Source organism: Homo sapiens, chromosome Y, assembly GCF_000001405.40.
Source record: "Homo sapiens chromosome Y, GRCh38.p14 Primary Assembly".
In the NCBI taxonomy this organism is placed as follows: Eukaryota; Metazoa; Chordata; class Mammalia; order Primates; family Hominidae; genus Homo; species Homo sapiens.
In genome coordinates this window covers 5,027,318-5,045,514 of record NC_000024.10, presented here as the reverse complement: position 1 = coordinate 5,045,514, position 18,197 = coordinate 5,027,318, and the positions used below count along the sequence as shown (strand labels likewise).

General features: G+C 34.9%; 1 protein-coding gene across 6 annotated transcripts in view; it reads right to left on the bottom strand.

Annotated features, from left to right (window-relative positions):
• PCDH11Y (protocadherin 11 Y-linked) overlaps positions 1-18,197 on the bottom strand; it is a 741,933-nt gene that overhangs the window by 696,714 nt on the left and 27,022 nt on the right. For 2 of the 6 annotated variants that reach the window (XM_017030079.2, XM_017030080.2), the window contains 4 exons: positions 14,448-14,616; positions 14,169-14,300; positions 13,504-13,609; positions 12,787-12,845 (listed from right to left, as the gene is read on the bottom strand). The exons of 1 other annotated variant lie outside the window; for it this stretch is intronic. In XM_017030079.2, the coding sequence (XP_016885568.1) occupies positions 12,787-12,818 (32 nt within the window). In that variant the 5' untranslated portion in view covers positions 12,819-12,845; positions 13,504-13,609; positions 14,169-14,300; positions 14,448-14,616. The remainder of the gene's footprint in view (positions 1-12,786; positions 12,846-13,503; positions 13,610-14,168; positions 14,301-14,447; positions 14,617-18,197) is intronic. 3 more of the 6 variants (XM_017030081.2, NM_032971.3, NM_001278619.2) reach the window with 2 other exon arrangements.

Below are 18,197 nucleotides of genomic sequence, written 5' to 3'. Positions count from 1 at the left end.
TTACCCTCATAGGGAAGCCCATCAGACTAACAGCAGATCTCGCGGCAGAAACCCTACAAGCCAGAAGAGAGTGGGGGCCAATATTCAACATTCTTAAAGGAAAGAATTTTCAACCCAGAATTTCATATCCAGCCAAACTAAGCTTCATAAGTGAAGGAGAAATAAAATACTTTACAGACAAGCAAATGCTGAGAGATTTTGTCACCACCAGGCCTGCCCTAAAAGAGCTGCTGAAGGAAGCACTAAACATGGAAAGGAACAACCGGTACCAGCCACTGCAAAATCATGCCAAAATGTAAAGACTATCGAGACTAGAAAGAAACTGCATCAACTAACAAGCAAAATAACCAGCTAACATCATAATGACAGGATCAAATTCACACATAATACTATTAACTTTAAATGTAAATGGACTAAATGCTCCAATTAAAAGACACAGACTGGCAAATTGGATAAAGAGTCAAGACCTATCAGTGTGCTGTATTCAGGAAGCCCATCTCAGGTGCAGAGACACACATAGGCTCAAAATAAAAGGATAGAGGAAAATCTACCAAGCCAATGGAAAACAAAAAAAGGCAGGGATTGCAATCCTAGTCTCTGATAAAACAGACTTTAAACCAACAAAGATCAAAAGAGACAAAGAAGGCCATTACATAATGGTAAAGGGATCAATTCAACAAGAAGAGCTAACTATCTTAAATATATATGCACCCAATACAGGAGCACCCAGATTCATAAAGCAAGTCCTGAGTGGCCTACAAAGAGACTTAGACTCCCACACATTAATAATGGGAGACTTTAACACCCCACTGTCAACATTAGACAGATCAACTAGACAGAAAGTCAACAAGGATACCAAGGAATTGAACTCAGCTCTGCACCAAGCGGACCTAATAGACATCTACAGAACTCTCCACCCCAAATCAATAGAATATACATTTTTTTCAGCACCACACCACACCTATTCCAAAATTGACCACATACTTGGAAGTAAAGCTCTCCTCAGCAAATGTAAAAGAACACAAATTATAACAAACTATCTCTGAGACCACAGTGCAATCAAACTGGAACTCAGGATTAAGAAACTCACTCAAAACCGCTCAACTACATGGAAACTGAACAACCTGCTCCTGAATGACTACTGGGTACATAACGAAATGAAGGCAGAAATAAAGATGTTCTTTGAAACTAACGAGAACAAAGACACAACGTACCAGAATCTCTGGGACGCATTCAAAGCAGTGTGTAGAGGGAAATTTATAGCACTAAATGCCCACAAGAGAAAGCAGGAAAGATCAAAAATTGACACCCTAACATCACAATTAAAAGAACTAGAAAAGCAAGAGCAAACACATTCAAAAGCTAGCAGAAGGCAAGAAATAACTAAAATCAGAGCAGAACTGAAGGAAATAGAGACACAAAAAACCCTTCAAAAAATTAATGAATCCAGGAGCTGGTTTTTTGAAAGGATCAACAAAATTGATAGACTGCTAGCAAGACTAATAAAGAAAAAAAGAGAGAAGAATCAAATACACACAATAAAAAATGATAAAGGGGATATCACCACTGATCCCACAGAAATACAAACTACCATCAGAGAATACTATAAACACCTCTGTGCAAATAAACTAGAAAATCTAGAAGAAATGGATAAATTCCTTGACACGTACACTCTCCCAAGACTAAACCGGAAGAAGTTGAATCTCTGAATAGACCAATAACAGGATCTGAAATTGTGGCAATAATCAATAGCTTACCAACCAAAAAGAGTCCAGGACCAGATGGATTCACAGCCGAATTCTACCAGAGGTACAAGGAGGAACTGATACCATTCCTTCTGAAACTATTCCAATCAATAGAAAAAGAGGGAATCCTCCCTAACTCATTTTATGAGGCCAGCATCATCCTGATACCAAAGCCGGGCAGAGACACAACCAAAAAAGAGAATTTTAGACCAATATCCTTGATGAACATTGACGCAAAAATCCTCAATAAAATACTGGCAAAACAAATCCAGCAGCACATCAAAAAGCTTATCCACCATGATCAAGTGGGCTTCATCCCTAGGATGCAAGGCTGGTTCAATATACGCAAATCAATAAATGTAATCCAGCATATAAACAGATCCAAAGACAAAAACCACATGATTATCTCAATAGATGCAGAAAAGGCCTTTGACAAAATTCAACAACCCTTCATGCTAAAAACTCTCAATAAATTAGTTATTAATGGGACGTATCTCAAAATAATAAGAGCTATCTATGACAAACCCATAGCCAATATCATACTGAATGGGCAAAAACTGGAAGCATTCCCTTTGAAAACGGGCACAAGACATGGATGCCCTCTCTCACCACTCCTATTCAACATAGTGTTGGAAGTTCTGGCCAGGGCAATTAGGCAGGAGAAGGAAATAAAGGGTATTCAATTAGGAAAAGAGGAAGTCAAATTGTCCCTGTTTGCAGATGACATGATTGTATATCTAGAAAACCCCATTGTCTCAGCCCAAAATCTCCTTCAGCTGATAAACAACTTCAGCAAAGTCTCAGGATACGAAATCAATGTACAAAAATCACAAGCATTCTTATACACCAACAACAGACAAACAGAGAGCCAAATCATGAGTGAACTCCCATTCACAATTGCTTCACAGAGAATAAAATACCTAGGAATCCAACTTACAAGGGATGTGAAGGACCTCTTCAAGGAGAACTACAAACCACTGCTCAAGGAAATAAAAGAGGATACAAACAAATGGAAGAACATTCCATGCTCATGGGTAGGAAGAATCAATATCGTGAAAATGGCCATACTGCCCAAGGTAATTTACAGATTCAATGCCATCCCCATCAAGCTACCAATGACTTTCTTCACAGAATTGGAAAAAACTACTTTAAAGTTCATATGGAACCAAAAAAGAGCCCGCATCGCCAAGTCAATCCTAAGCCAAAAGAACAAAGCTGGAGGCATCACACTACCTGAATTCAGACTATACTACAAGGCTACAGTAACCAAAACAGCATGGTACTGGTACCAAAACAGAGATATAGATCAATGGAACAGAACAGAGCCCTCAGAAATAACGCCGCATATCTACAACTATCTGATCTTTGACAAACCTGAGAAAAACAAGCAATGGGGAAAGGATTCCCTATCTAATAAATGGTGCTGGGAAAACTGGCTAGCCATATGTAGAAAGCTGAAACTGGATCCCTTCCTTACACCTTATACAAAAATCAATTCAAGATGGATTAAAGACTTAAACGTTAGACCTAAAACCATAAAAACCCTAGAAGAAAACCTAGGCAATACCATTCAGGACATAGGCATGGGCAAGGACTTCATGTCTAAAACACCAAAAGCAATGGCAACAAAAGACAAAATTGACAAATGGGATCTAATTAAACTAAAGTGCTTCTGCACAGCAAAAGAGACTACCATCAGAGTGAACAGGCAACCTACAAAATGGGAGAAAATTTTCGCAACCTACTCATCTGACAAAGGGCTAATATCCAGAATCTACGATGAACTCAAACAAATTTACAAGAAGAAAACAAACAACCCCATCAAAAAGTGGGCAAAGGACATGAACAGACACTTCTCAAAAGAAGACATTTATGCAGCCAAAAAACACATGAAAAAATGCTCATCATCACTGGCCATCAGAGAAATGCAAATCAAAACCACAATGAGATACTATCTCATACCAGTTAGAATGGCAATCATTAAAAAGTCAGGAAACAACAGGTGCTGGAGAGGATGTGGAGAAATAGGAACACTTTTACACTGTTGGTGGGACTGTAAACTAGTTCAACCATTGTGGAAGTCAGTGTGGCCATTCCTCAGGGATCTAGAACTAGAAATACCATTTGTCCCAGCCATCCCATTACTGGGTATATACCCAAAGGACTGTAAATCATCCTGCTATAAAGACACATGCACACGTATGTTTATTGCGGCATTACTCACAATAGCAAAGACTTGGAACCAACCCAAATGTCCAACAATGATAGACTGGATTAAGAAAATGTGGCACATATACACCATGGAATACTATGCAGCCATAAAATATGATGAGTTCATGTCCTTTGTAGGGACATGGATGAAATTGGAAATCATCATTCTCAGTAAACTATCGCAAGAACAAAAAACCAAACACCACATATTCTCACTCATAGGTGGGAACTGAACAATGAGATCACATGGACACAGGAAGGGGAACATCACACTCTGGGGACTGTTGTGGGGTGGGGGGAGGGGTGAGGGATAGCATTGGGAGATATACCTAATGGTAGATGACGAGTTAGTGGGTGCAGCGCACCAGCATGGCACATGTATACGTATGTAACTAACCTGCACAATGTGCACATGTACCCTAAAACTTAAAGTATAATAATAAAAAATAAAAATAAAAATAAAAATGAAAAAAAGAAAGGAAAAAAAAAAAAGATGCTTGCTGGAGATTCGGGTCACCAATTCTTTTGTTTTAAACCTTTTCCTCCAAGAATATATCACTACAACAACCAGCAAAGACTTCAAGAAATAATCGGAGTGATTTATAATAACTTGGAGTGTTCATTATTTTATGAATTCCATTTTATTCAAAAACCTAAAGTTTTCTGGTAAGAGTATATTTTATGCATGACCTTCACCTGTAGTTATTTTCACTACAAATTATACTAAGTGGTTCTTAGGAAATCAGTTTTTCAAACTATTAGTAAGTAAAATATTTAAATTAATTTAACTAATCCTACATGTTTTCACAATATTTTTAGATTCCTCTTCTTTAAATTTTTTTTTCTGTTTCTCACTTAGGACAACCACAAACCCCACTCCAACTCATTAAGAAATGAAAAATGATTTATCATTAGCCTTCATTCAGCATATTCCATGCCTTCTCACCACAAGTAAAGAACAAGCCTTCAAAGGGGTAATATAATAGTATATTGGAAGAAGAATGAAATGCAACCCCCGTTTTATTTATAAATCAAGAAGTGCATTAACCTCAAAACAATTCTAAGTAACCATCAAATGGGAAATCAAGAATATACAAGTTCTGCCTCTACAGAGTTGGATGCAGTATTGCTTGCTGGACCAACAAACACTAGCCAACTTGTAACTGAGAAATATTCATGAGATGCTTTATTTATATGTTTAAAATAATAATCTTTGTGTTTCACTGTGAACATATGCCCTTGTGTGCATTTATGTGCGTGCATGTGTAGACAGATCACTGTAAGGAAAACTGCCAATTGAAATGCCATCATACTAAACAATAGTTGAAATGCAAGTGGTGTGATCAGGGTTAATCTCACATTAAGGCAGCCCCAAAATAGAAGTTTCATTGTGTTCCATGCCAATACTTTTTTTTTTTTTTTTTGAGATGGAGTCTCACTCTGTCGCGCAGGCTGGAGTGCAGTGGTGCGATTTTGGCTCACTGCAACCTCCCAGGTTCAAGAGATTCTCCTGCCTCAGCCTCCCGAGTATCTGGGACTACAGGCGTGTGCCACCATGCCCGGCTAATTTTTTGTATTTTTTTTTAGTAGAGATGGGGTTTCACCATGTTAGCCAGGATGGTTTTGATCTCCTGACCTCATGATCCACTGGCCTCAGCCTCCCAAAGTGCTGGGATTACAGGCGTGAGCCATCGTGCCCAGTCCACCAATGCAGTTTTAAGTGAGTAATACATTCAGATAAAAAAAAAATTCTTCATGCATTTGCGGTTATTGTTATTTTTATTTAGCTATTGCACTGCTTATAAAAAACGTAATTTGATCTCACATTGGTTTAGAAAAAGAGATTACGAAAAAAGAAAATAAAGGCACCATTCTTTTGATTAGGTACTAGAGGCTCCAATTACTTGGGAGACTTTTTGGTTTTTAGAATTATAACATACTCTGTAATGATTTCAGTTTGTCACAGAGTACAAAATATGTGAAAATGGCCAGTATTTCATTTTAAATTATAATTTCTTTATAGCTGATAAATGTAAAATATTTTCCTATTCCAGAAAATATTAGAAATGCTGAAATATTTTATATTTCCTTTTCAGAGATATCCAACTCCTTAATAGATATCATAGAAGAAGCTACAACAAACACAACTATTTTACACTTGCTAAAACTGGCACTCACTCTAGGAAATTGTGATCACAGGGTACATTAATTCTTTATATAACCTGACAACCCTGGAAAATAAAGACCATTGCTCTTCATGATGAAATTACTTTGCATCAGGACTTGATTTATAGATAGCACAAGAACAAAATTAGAAACAAAGGTGATTGATTATGCCTTGAAAAAAGAACTCTCTTTTCCATACAATAGTTATATTTAGACTATAAGCATCTAGAGCTGTGCAGTCCAATATAGTACCTCTTGCTGTGTGTAGCTGTTAAAATTAAATTTAAGTCAGATTAAAAATTCAATCCCTTAGTTGTACTAAGCACATTTTAAGTGTTCAATTGTCCAATAAGGCTAAGGACTTAAGCACTGGACAGCACAGATTATAGAATATTTCTATTATGACAGAAAGTTCTGTTGGACGGTACTAATCTAGATCAGAAGGTCAGTAACCTTCAACTATGCCTGCACCCAGGACAGTGAAATGATGGCTAGAATATCCAATTCATAGGCAGGGGACAAAAAAGGTATAAAATTAAATAGTACAGTAAAATGTATTCTTGAATCATTTAGGAATGAGTAGTATTTTATGATTCTAAATTTTGAAACTATTAGGCAGTGAATATTTTTAAGATATTGGTAACTTGTTAACTCAAGAAGAAACAATCAAATCTCCCCTCATTTTAAGTTAGAAATCACACTGTTCCAGATCCTCTGAGAGAACAAAAATGCACAGTTTTATAGTTATGAGTAAATAGCATCTTAAAATAGAATTATTTCATAAAACATTATATGATCCCAATAAAACCTATGTGATATCTATATAAATAAATTTACTGTATCTGAGACATAAAAATTATGAAGTGGTAATACACCAAAATAACTCTCCACTTGATAATCTTTAGTATATTGGGTAGGGTCGATAGGAGTTTGGAATACTCACCATGTTCTTCTCATTTATCACCATCATAATCCTTATACAGATAGTATGAAGAATATGATGCATGATAGAAATCATGAATCCTTCAAAAACCTCAAACAGAAAACTGAAGGGTATAGGGCAAATATCCTAATAGACAACTATGTAACTTCATCACTGTCTTGCTTTATGCAATATCAGAAATGCATGCACACTATAAATAAGTACCTGTGATACAGAATCATGCAATGCAAGCCACTGTTTTCTAACATAGCTAATTACCCTTTCACTCTTAATCCATCTCCAATGTCCCTCAGTCCACATTGCCTCATCCTTCCTTAAATATATGCTCAGAGCACTAATATACATTGGCTAACACACACAAATTTCCTCATATTTCTACTTTTGTGCAGACTTTCCCTTGACCTCCAAGTTCTCCACAGTGCTGGATACAGTCTTAATGAATACCACCGATTTAACACTTTTCGTATTATCATATATGTTTTATAAAGAAATAATATTTAATGAAGCCACAGACTCTTGAGAGTTTTAAAAACGTAGAGAAAAAAGTTAAATAACTAGTAAAAGCCATTAAGCACTGAAATGGAAATAGAATCCTTCAATGTTCCCTATACAACATATAGTCTTGTTCCCAATCCCTTTCTTCCCTAAAAAATGAAAAGAAAAGGAATTCATTGCTATTTCTTACGAGTCAGCCCTTCTCCATTTTAATTTGTCTTTCCATTCTATTTGAACGGAATAAACAAATTGGGGCAATGTATGGAAGATCTCATATTCTAATATTTTAATTTTATGATAATTTTCAGAATTTATTACATAATTATACATAAAACAAACTTATATAGGCATTTTGCGTATTGGAGATTTTTTTTTGGTGGGGGGTGGGGACTGAGTCTCGCTCTATTACCCAGGCTGGAGTGCAGTGGTGAAATCTTGGCTCACTGCAACCTCCGCCTCCCGGGTTCAAGTGATTCTCCTGCCTCAGCCTACCAAGTAGCTGGGATTACAGGCACCCACCATCACGCCCAGCTAATTTTTGTATTTTTGGTAGAGACGGGGCTTCACCATGTTGGCCAGGCTGGTCTCAAACTCCTGACCTCAGGTGATCCACCCACCTTGGCCTCCCAAAGTGCTGGGATACTTTTTTACCTTTCCCATATCCACTATATAATGTTGCTTAATTAGTTTTCATTTACATTTACTTATTCCTTTCCCATGTGTCAATATATTAACACGTCAACATGTCAAAATATGCTTTCTTACAGAGTAAGATATTACCTAATATTACTTTCAAACTAGCAATTAAGCCCACAGACTAAAACAAGCTAGAAAAAAATAGGACTTTTATTTCTGTGTTGTGTGCCACATTAATGAGAAAATGCAAAATCAATTTTGTTCACATAGTCATTACCAAGTATATGAAAAAATAATTAGTTGATAGCTCATTTTACCATTCTCACAGAAGACATTTCATAGAGACATTATTTAAATATACTTTTGGTTTGATTTTCTAGTTTTAAAAATAAATGAAAAATTTTTTCATACATAGAATGAACGAAAGACTCCATAGAGATCATTTTTTTGCAATTGTCTTAATGAACAATATTGATGATTTCAGATAAACCATTCATTCAGGGCTTCACATCCATTGTAGCAAGACAATTCATTTAAAGCTATTGCAAAATGTATATGTTATGGAAATTGAGACAGTCATTAATTTCCAATACTAAAAAATGTTTTTATACCCTACTGAAAAAGTAAAGTCATAAAATGTTATTATATCCAAATATAAACTATCCTGGCATTAAAAAATTTAAATTTTTTAAAGAAGTCCTAGCATGAGCTATGGAGCTAGACGGTCTTGTTTTATAATAAATCCAAGATCCACCACTCACTAGCTGTGTGACTTTATGCAAGTTATTTAAATTCTCTGTATCTTTGTGTAAAACAGGGTTAACAATTGTGTCTACCTTATAGTGTTATTGTGCACTAAATGAGTTAATATATGTAAAATACTTAGAACAGTTCCTGGAACATTAATGTTACATGTGTTTGTAATTGTTGATATTGTTATTATAAACTAAAAAAAATAATAAACAAAGGTATTTGTATATCCTGCACTCACAAAGACAAGTCTAATCCTGTGGGAAAAACTAACTGGACTTGAATTCTAGTATTAACTATGCCTTTAGGTATCTGTGACTTTGGACAAGTCATTTAGTCATTCTGTGCCTCATTTTACTCACTGAGGGTGAGTAGCGTTGGGATTTATCTCTAAGATCTTTTCTTGTTCTAGCCATCTGTGATTGAAAGAAGGTTTAATCATAAATACATAATCATTTGCATAATGGATCTCAATTATGAGCAATGCTACAGCTTTAAAAGATCTTACATCACAATTCCACATGCGAAGTCAAAATGTCTTTTCATCAAATGAATATTTCATATAATCTTCAGATTTAAAATTATGTTTATAAGGTTTAAAGACTGTGTGCTCTGTTTTAGGTAGTTAGTGATTTTATAATTGTTCCCAGCTTGGCAACAAATTTTTTTTCATGTAATTTAGATTAAAAAGCTTATTTTAAAAGAGGAATGATTATATTCAACTTTCAAGGTATGTTTGGTAATATTTTGGTAATAAAATTTTTTTTTCAAAATTTTATAACCCTTCATAACATTTTTGAGAAAGACACATCCCAGTGACATTTATCTATAGATATTATTATGATTGGTTTTCAAATGCTTAAACTGAACAATGAATGTTTTTGATAAAACAGGGAACATGTTAACTTATTAGAAGATCTTAATTAATATTTAAATTTTTAAAGAACAAGTATAAATTAGGGAAAGTGGGGAGTTATTTTAATTGGATACGTGCAATATATCTTGAAACTCTGTAATCCAGCACGTGTTGAAAATATTAAAGCAAACACCTCACAAAATCAAGTGCATTTTGAAACAGTATTTGCAACTAAAATATGTGAACTATGGCATCATGATTTTGTCCTGAAAATAATAAAAATTTGACATCTCTAAATTTGATGACTTTAAAATAAAAAAGATAATTAAAACCTGTTACAGCTGACAACAACATTGCACCTTCATAATTTTTCACTAAGTACAGCTGCTAATTTTCAAGAGGAACTGTTAAAGAGAGATTTCACGTAAGAACTGCTTCTCCTCTCTATTTTTATTCAGAAGAAAAGGTTTTTTTTTTAAAACAAAGCATTTCCAAATATATTATCTATCCAACCAGTACTTTTTTTGTGGTCTACTTCCACGTTTTTATGGTGTTGAAAAATAAGTATTCATTATTTTGATAAACATTATATATAACAACCAAACCAAACCGATAACAACAACAACAAAAACTGAAAGCAAAAAAACTATGTTTATTACCTCTCGAAATCTATAGAATCTAAACTCCGAGGCCTAGCATTCAAGGTCCTCAATTAGCTGCTTCTAAGAAATATCTTTCTCTTTAATTTATAATCCATGACCTCTCCTCTTCAGCCGAGCCAACATCTACTCTCTAGCCATAATATTTTCCACATCTTCTCTGGTCATCAAAGGTCATCATCTACTTCAGAGCAATTCAAAACTCATTTCCTCTAAGAAATTTTCAGATTAGCATCACATGGGGAAAATTTGAATAAGCATAAGAGTAACGATAAGGTTAAATGTAAGTGCTTACGGGATTTGTGGTTAAAATATGACAACTGAGGTGATGGCAGTCAGCAAGAAAAAGTCTTAGAGCAATCAGTTTTGGTTTTTTTTAACTTTAAAATGGAAACAAATCTCATCAATATTCAACTAGCATATTCCATTACTCGTCTATTTTTCTTCCACTCCTTAAAAAGTACACAGAATATTGTTTTGAACTGAATGGGCTGAATGTCTTGTTGAATAAGAAATTTTCACCTTGGCCTAATTTGGCTTTACTACCTGAATGTTAATTTTTTGTATCTCCCCTCTACTATCTCAAGTTATCTTAAAACCAAACCTGGTACAAATAACAGGTCTATAAAATGTGGTGTATATATAATGCCACAATAAAGAATAAGATTATATTAAACTGTCAATGATTAAGCTACAGACTGTTTTATTCATGGCAGTTTGTAAATTTAAGCTGTTCCTAAATATGGAAATAATGTGATGAATTATATTCCAACTACCTGCAAGGGACTTGAATAATTTGGGAAGAACTGTGAGGCACAAGGGGAAACTGGTAGGGGCAGAGGATATGGAAAAGACTGCAGAGAAAACATGGAAAGGATGAAGGTGTTAAAGAGAGAAAAGGGATGATTGAGAGGGAAGGAATGATTTTGAGCATTGAGACGAACTAACAAAATAAGAAGTACTCATAGAGTCTGAGCAACAAGCTGTTATGAAAACTTAACTGGGGAAAACTATGGTGACAACAAAGATGGAGAACTTAAAAACTGGGTAGAGACTTGGAAGAATTATAGACACACAAAGAGAACAGGGAGAAATCTGGGAAAACTAACAGAACTGAGAGTGACTTCAATGAACGGAAAACTTGAAGGAATGAAAGGTACAGGGAGGGGATGGGAAGATTTACTGGATCTGGGAGGTCCCAGGCACCATAAAGAGTGGATTTATATACTTGGAGAGAATGATGGAAGTGACAGAGGAGTAATGGAGGGAATAGAAGGGAACAAGAAAAAGAATCATGTAAAAAGTTGTTTAAATCCTTTCTTCTCTAAAGCTTAAAATGTCTGAGAAATTTAACAGTGATTAGAACTTTTAAGAGATTTCTTCTTTGAGCAATGTCAAGGGGAACATATTTCAGTATCTTCTGCCACATGGACAAGAGAAACTGAGAATGAGTATTTGTGACAAATAATTTAAATATATTATTTTTAAGCGTATTACATTATTGGAGTATTGTGACAAGGTTGTGGGGGTGCACTGGAGTACACGCTAATCACTAAGTGGACAAACTTAAATGATTTTTGAATAAATCAAAACCTCCCAAGCAAGAAACTGAACACTACTTCTAAATTTGGTTTAATTAAATAGAATCCTAAACATTTTTTATTCATCTAAATGGAGATTTGGGGGGATAGCCTATTAGTTTATTAAATCAAATCATATTCCTACAAGTGCAATAAAGTCTATATATTTATTCATTAGAATACTCTCTTGTTTGTTAGTTTGGTGTCTATTTGTAAAGTATGTTCTGTACACCACGCATTGGAAATGCAAAACTGAGGAAGAACAGTCTCTCTACCTAGGGTGCTTGTAGTATTCAGAACAAGTATTTGTTCTGAAAATAGGCACTTCTGGAATTTTTCAGTACACTGATAACTCATGGTCCTAAAGACATCTTTGCACGATCCAGAGGGGCCTTTACAACTTCATTGCTTACCGTCAGTAAACTGTCAATTCTTTAGAAATTGTCAATCCACGGACAACATGTGTGGCCATCCAGGCCAATCTAGGTAAATTATGCTTACTATAATTTGTGGGATTTTTGTTGTTGTTGTTTTACATCTCTCCCTACATGATATCAGTATATTGGAATATAGACTTCCCCTTCCTCTCATCCAATCTCACTGTTAACATTTTAAACTCAAAACAAATCTTTTAAGAAAATGAAAGCCTCAAACATGAAAAATTGGAGTTCAGATAAAATTACTACTCCTGAAAAGACCCAGAGGAAAGGAGACGTATATGATATTTAATATATATGAAACTCACCTTGAAATATCTGAATTAAAACCCACTGTCATTCAGTCCTCATAGTGCACTGCAATCAGCTGTTGAGTGGGGGATAAAAAGAGGGAGGGGAAGAAAAAGGTCTTTGCCTCCAGTACATTGTAATCAGTTTAAACTTAAATGAAATAGATGCACTGAAAAGATAGGGCTTCAATAACCCAAATGCTGCACTAGATAGGAGGTTCCATGGCAGGACCTCAGAGTGCTGTTAGCAGCAAATCATCCAGGATTCTGAAATGTAGGCACAAAATACTTTTTGAATTAAAACTGGAGTGAACTCTCTGCTATCCTTATTTGTCTGCTAATGAAAGCTTAAATAAAAACACCCTCCCCACCAGCTGCTATTATTCCTTGGATCATTATAACAGTTTTATAAGCCTAACACATAAAATTGATAATCTGCATAGGCTTATCAAACAGTAGACAGGATAGATTCAAAGTTTTATTTATATGGAATAGGTGTGATCCTAGCCCCATTGGCTAGTGGTATTTATTTCCTGACTGAGGAAAATAGTTATGCCTGCCTTGAACGGCAATCACATAATATACATCACTAAAAATGCTTGATTACCTACATATCTATTTCAACTTTGTCAGTTATGAACCTGATCTTAGCTATAATGCCTCTTGTTATCAATTCATACTCTCTTATGCGGGAATTTCTAATTCTTTAAGGAGGATAGCAAAACATTGTCTCACCCAAGCTTGTCAGCTTCTTCACAAGATTACAAAGTTGAGAGCAGCTGAGGCAAAACCGCTCTGGTATGTGATCTGTGGAATCCTTCTTATTCACAACAGGATTTTCCTATGAGGGGTCAAACACTTTCAATTGGCTTTCAAGAAACCATAAATCTAAATTAAACAAGTAGGCAACACATGACAGAGGGCCATCATTTTATGGCAGGATCCTCCAATTAGCTGTAACGGCTACAAATCAAGAAAAGGTTAAATATTTCTGAATAATTTTAGATTTTGGGAAAAGGGAAGCAAAGAACATAAAGATTGTGTTTTATGATCTCATAAATCTCTCTTGGATTAAAAAACAAAAAATCCCTGATACTTTGGGAGGTAGGGTATACTGGAAGGTATTTCTTAGCTTTAACAGGGAATAAGCTATTAAAATTTTTGAAAAGCCAGCCTAGTCTGTTGTATTCTTATTCTAATTAAGCCAGATTTGTTAAAGCATTTAATGCATATTTATGTGGAAAATATGACATCTTCCTACCTACATGAATTATTTTGAGTTTTATATTATCGATGTTGCAAAAATTATGGATTAAATGAAAAGTGATAATAATGATACTAATATAAATCTTCAACTTTGAGGGGTAATTGCTTGTATTATAAATGGCTATGAATCATACTTTTTATATGGGAAGTGGTAATCCTATGCCTTATTATTCGTTATTATGATCTCCCTCGAATTCCATAGACGTGTTTCTCTCATCCATTCCTCCAGCAGAAATTTCTAGAGCAGTACTATCCAATAGAACTTTCTGCAATGATAAAAATATTTTATTAAAATAATCTGCATGGTCCAATATGGTAGCCGCTTGTGCCTATTAACCACTTGAAATGTGGCTAGTGCGACTGAGGAATTAAATTCTTAATTTAATTTAATAAATTAAAATTTAAATACTCACATGTAGCTAGTAGCTACCATATTCAACAGCACAGTTCAGAGATACTTCACATTCTGTATTTTATTTGGAGTATGCATGAATTTACTTAAGGAAAATGTGTTTTGTTAAGATATTCCATCCTCTTCCATCCATTCATCCATCCAGTTGATCTGTACTTTTTAAGCACCCTCTGTGTATAAAGCACATGTTAAGTTTATGTAGTGGGGGAGATAATACAAGATTTGTAGATGATAATTATTATACTAAATAGGCTAAGTGACAAAGGACAGAGCAAAGTGATATGATAGTACCGAAGAATGTGAATACTTTGAGGTAACGGAATTAAGAAGAGGTTCATGAAAGAAGTAGCTCTTTAAATGTTTTTGATAAATAGCTGGAAGATGTAGGAAGAAAGATTGGGAGAGAAAGAGATTGCAAGATAAAAAAGTCTAAAGTTTAATCTGCAATGTGGGTATAAGGAAGAGGAAATAGTCCAAAGCTTTTGAAGTGTGAATGACTGAAGAAGTTAGTGCCAAGAACAGATAAGGCAAAGACAGAAGAAGAATATGTTTTATAAGAAAATGTTGAGACTAAGTAATATAATTTACTTTAATCTGAGATTTTATAAGTTACTTAATTATAAAAGTTATTTGCGATAAACTTTAATTACAAATGAGCTGAAATTGTAGCCATTAAACAAACCTTATACGTTAATTATAATTTTACTAAAGATAAATATGATCAACGTGGAAATAAGATATGCTTAAAGAGACTTCTAATAAAGGATGAGCATTAATCATCTATTTAACCTTCCATATTGGCTTCTATATTTAAAGACTAAAGTTTAGAACAACTACCGTAAGTGCAGATAAACACAAACATACATGAATTTTCTCTTACTTTCTGTATACAATTATTTGGGCAGTGCCAGATAACCTAAATTTTATTATTTTTTTTCATGTCCCAGGGGAGTGCCTTAAATACTTCAGCCACTATTACATTTTTTATTAATCTAGAAGCAAAGATCAAAATACTTTGAGAAAGTAGATAGCCTCATAATGTGATGTGGATAGCTAATCAAATGCCATAAATATAGAACCTTAGTGATAGATTTATCAATGCCCAGATCCATCACACATTCCTCTCTTTTTTTTTTTTTTTTTTTTGAGACAGAGTCTAGCTCTGTCGCCCAGGCTGGAGTGCAGTGGCATGATCTCGGCTCACTGCAACTTCCGTCTCCCGGGTTCAAGCAATTGTCCTGCCTCAGCCTCCTGAGTAGCTTGGATTACAGGCACCCGTCACCATGCCCAGCTAATTTTTGTATTTTTAGTTGAGACAGGGTTTCACCGTGTTGGCCAGGCTGGTCTCGAACTCCTGACCTCATGATTTGCCCGCCTTGGCCTCCCAAAGTGCTGGGATTACAAGCATGAGCCACTGCACCCAGCCACACATTCCTTTTGAATATACATTTATTAACAACTGTGAAATTTGAATAAAAGTTAATATTATCTACAGAGATCTTTGTTATTTTTGCTTTGCCTCTGTGGATTAACGTTTATTATTTTGACCAGAAAATCTTTCTTTGCAAAGAAAGGAAGAATTGAATAATGTTTCCATAGTTTGAGTAAATAAATTTTAAATAAATAATCAGGTATTTAATACAAATACATAATCAGAAGAGTGGGAGATAGTTAGGGTTATATCTCTGCCTTTAATAAAGACCAGTCCAATAATGGGTTAAAGTTATTTTTCTAGCTGAACCTTCATCCCTGGATCGACAGAGCTAACAGATAAGGGTGTTATTTCTTTGAAAGTAATAATGAATTCCATAAATTTTATTGAAATAAGTGTTTTTTCCCATTAATGTTTATCATAAAAAATTTTTAATTGAAAAGCTGTAATCCTTTATATTTAACATTTTGTGAACCAGTCAGATGCACTTCATGACTTAGGGGCTACAGCTATGTTAGTATTTTTTTCCTCCTAGAATGATTTATGAGGAACAAGAGGTCGTGAACCTCTTTTGAACCTATGAATACACAGTTTGCTAACATATAGATTCTAAAATTCTGAAATTTCTGATTCTAATAAAATACCTCTATGAATTTGGCCACCCAATAGAATGTTGGTGGGTGAATTAAAATACTACTTCACCAATATTTCTCTCTCTCTCTCTGTCTCCCCCCCACAGACACACACACACAAAACCATCCTCATTAGTTGATTCAAGCTTATTGATATTAATTTGTCAATTCCAGTTGCTGCCTTAGTTATTGATTCTTCCTGTTGACCTCTATTTATTTTTAATTTTTTTAGAGACACGGTTTTCGCTTTGTCACCCCGGTTGAAGTGCAGTGGCACGATCATAGCTCACTACAGCCTCCAACTCCTGGGCTTGACCAATCCTCCTACCTCAGCCTCCCAAATAGCTAGGACTACAGGCACACATGAACAGACCTGGCTATTTTTTTTTTTTTTTTGTAGAGATGAGGTCTTTCTATGTTGCCCAGGCTGGTCTCCAACTCCTATTCTCAAGCCATCCTCCCATTTTGGCCTCCCAAAACACTGGAATTATGGGCTTTCAGCCACTGTGTCCAACCCCTGTTCACCTTTATATCAATATGGTTTATGGAGATATTTCTGTTAAAAGATAAACTACTTGAATTTTGTTCAACTTAGAGTTTTATTTCACCGCCTTTCCCTGATCCTTAGAATGCATACATCTATAAGACCACATCTTTGGAATTATTTGTGGTAGAAAAACTTTATCTTTATTCAGATTTTGCAGAAACTATGAGTAAAATGTCTACTTTCTGCTGTTGTGTACATTTTGCTATGTGATGGTGTAGATACAGTCAATAAGGGAAAACCACAAGGAATATCGACACTAGCCCCTGTCAATGGTAAGAAAGTTTCTGAAGATTTTTTTGTTGTTTTTCCTGCACTGACTAAGTATGGTCAAGTACCACATTCCAGTTTGCCTGTTATCCCTCCATCATCGTAGGCCTAAGCTTAAACTCAAATTGTAACTTGCATACGCAAATTTAATTTGCATAGAACAATTGAGTTTTTCAGTGAGACTAAAATTCCCATAACCAGGGTGTCTTATTAATTGAAAAGTGATAGGAAAACTCCCACAAATGAAGTAACTGTAATTTACACTCCTTGAGAGTTATCATCTTGAGAAAAGTTTCTTTTGTAGTTTCAGATTTCTGTGGACTACAATTTTTAAACAGGTGTACTGTGAAGAATATAAGAAATCTCCACTTAGAGAATTTAAGATGTCTAAGAGAATTGTCACAACTGTGAAAGGTGAGAAGCATCAAATGCCCTTTATCCCCTTTTTAAAGAAACAACATTTTCTAGTGGATATCAAACTCTTTAAGTGGAGGTGTTTTAGCACACACAAGACATTCCTTCACTTTCATTTTTTTTTATTCTAGCAAGTTTTATTTTTGGCAGGAAAAAAATGAGTATTTCTTGCCAATTTTCAAAAATTAGCAAATCCTTAAAATATTCATTATAAATAGATCAAAACATTCAGCCACATGCTATTACAAAGGCAGTCAATTTAAATCAAGTTTGACTAGCAAACTTTCTTCTCCCACACCCACTTTTACAGTCCTGCTGATCTCCCTACTTTATAGTCCCTTATTCACATAAAATATACTAGATTATTTAAGAAAAAAGTCCTAGGCACTTCACTTATCCAGTATCACCTTCATATTAACAAATATTATTTTCTTTTTATTTGAGGTGGGTAAGCATTCT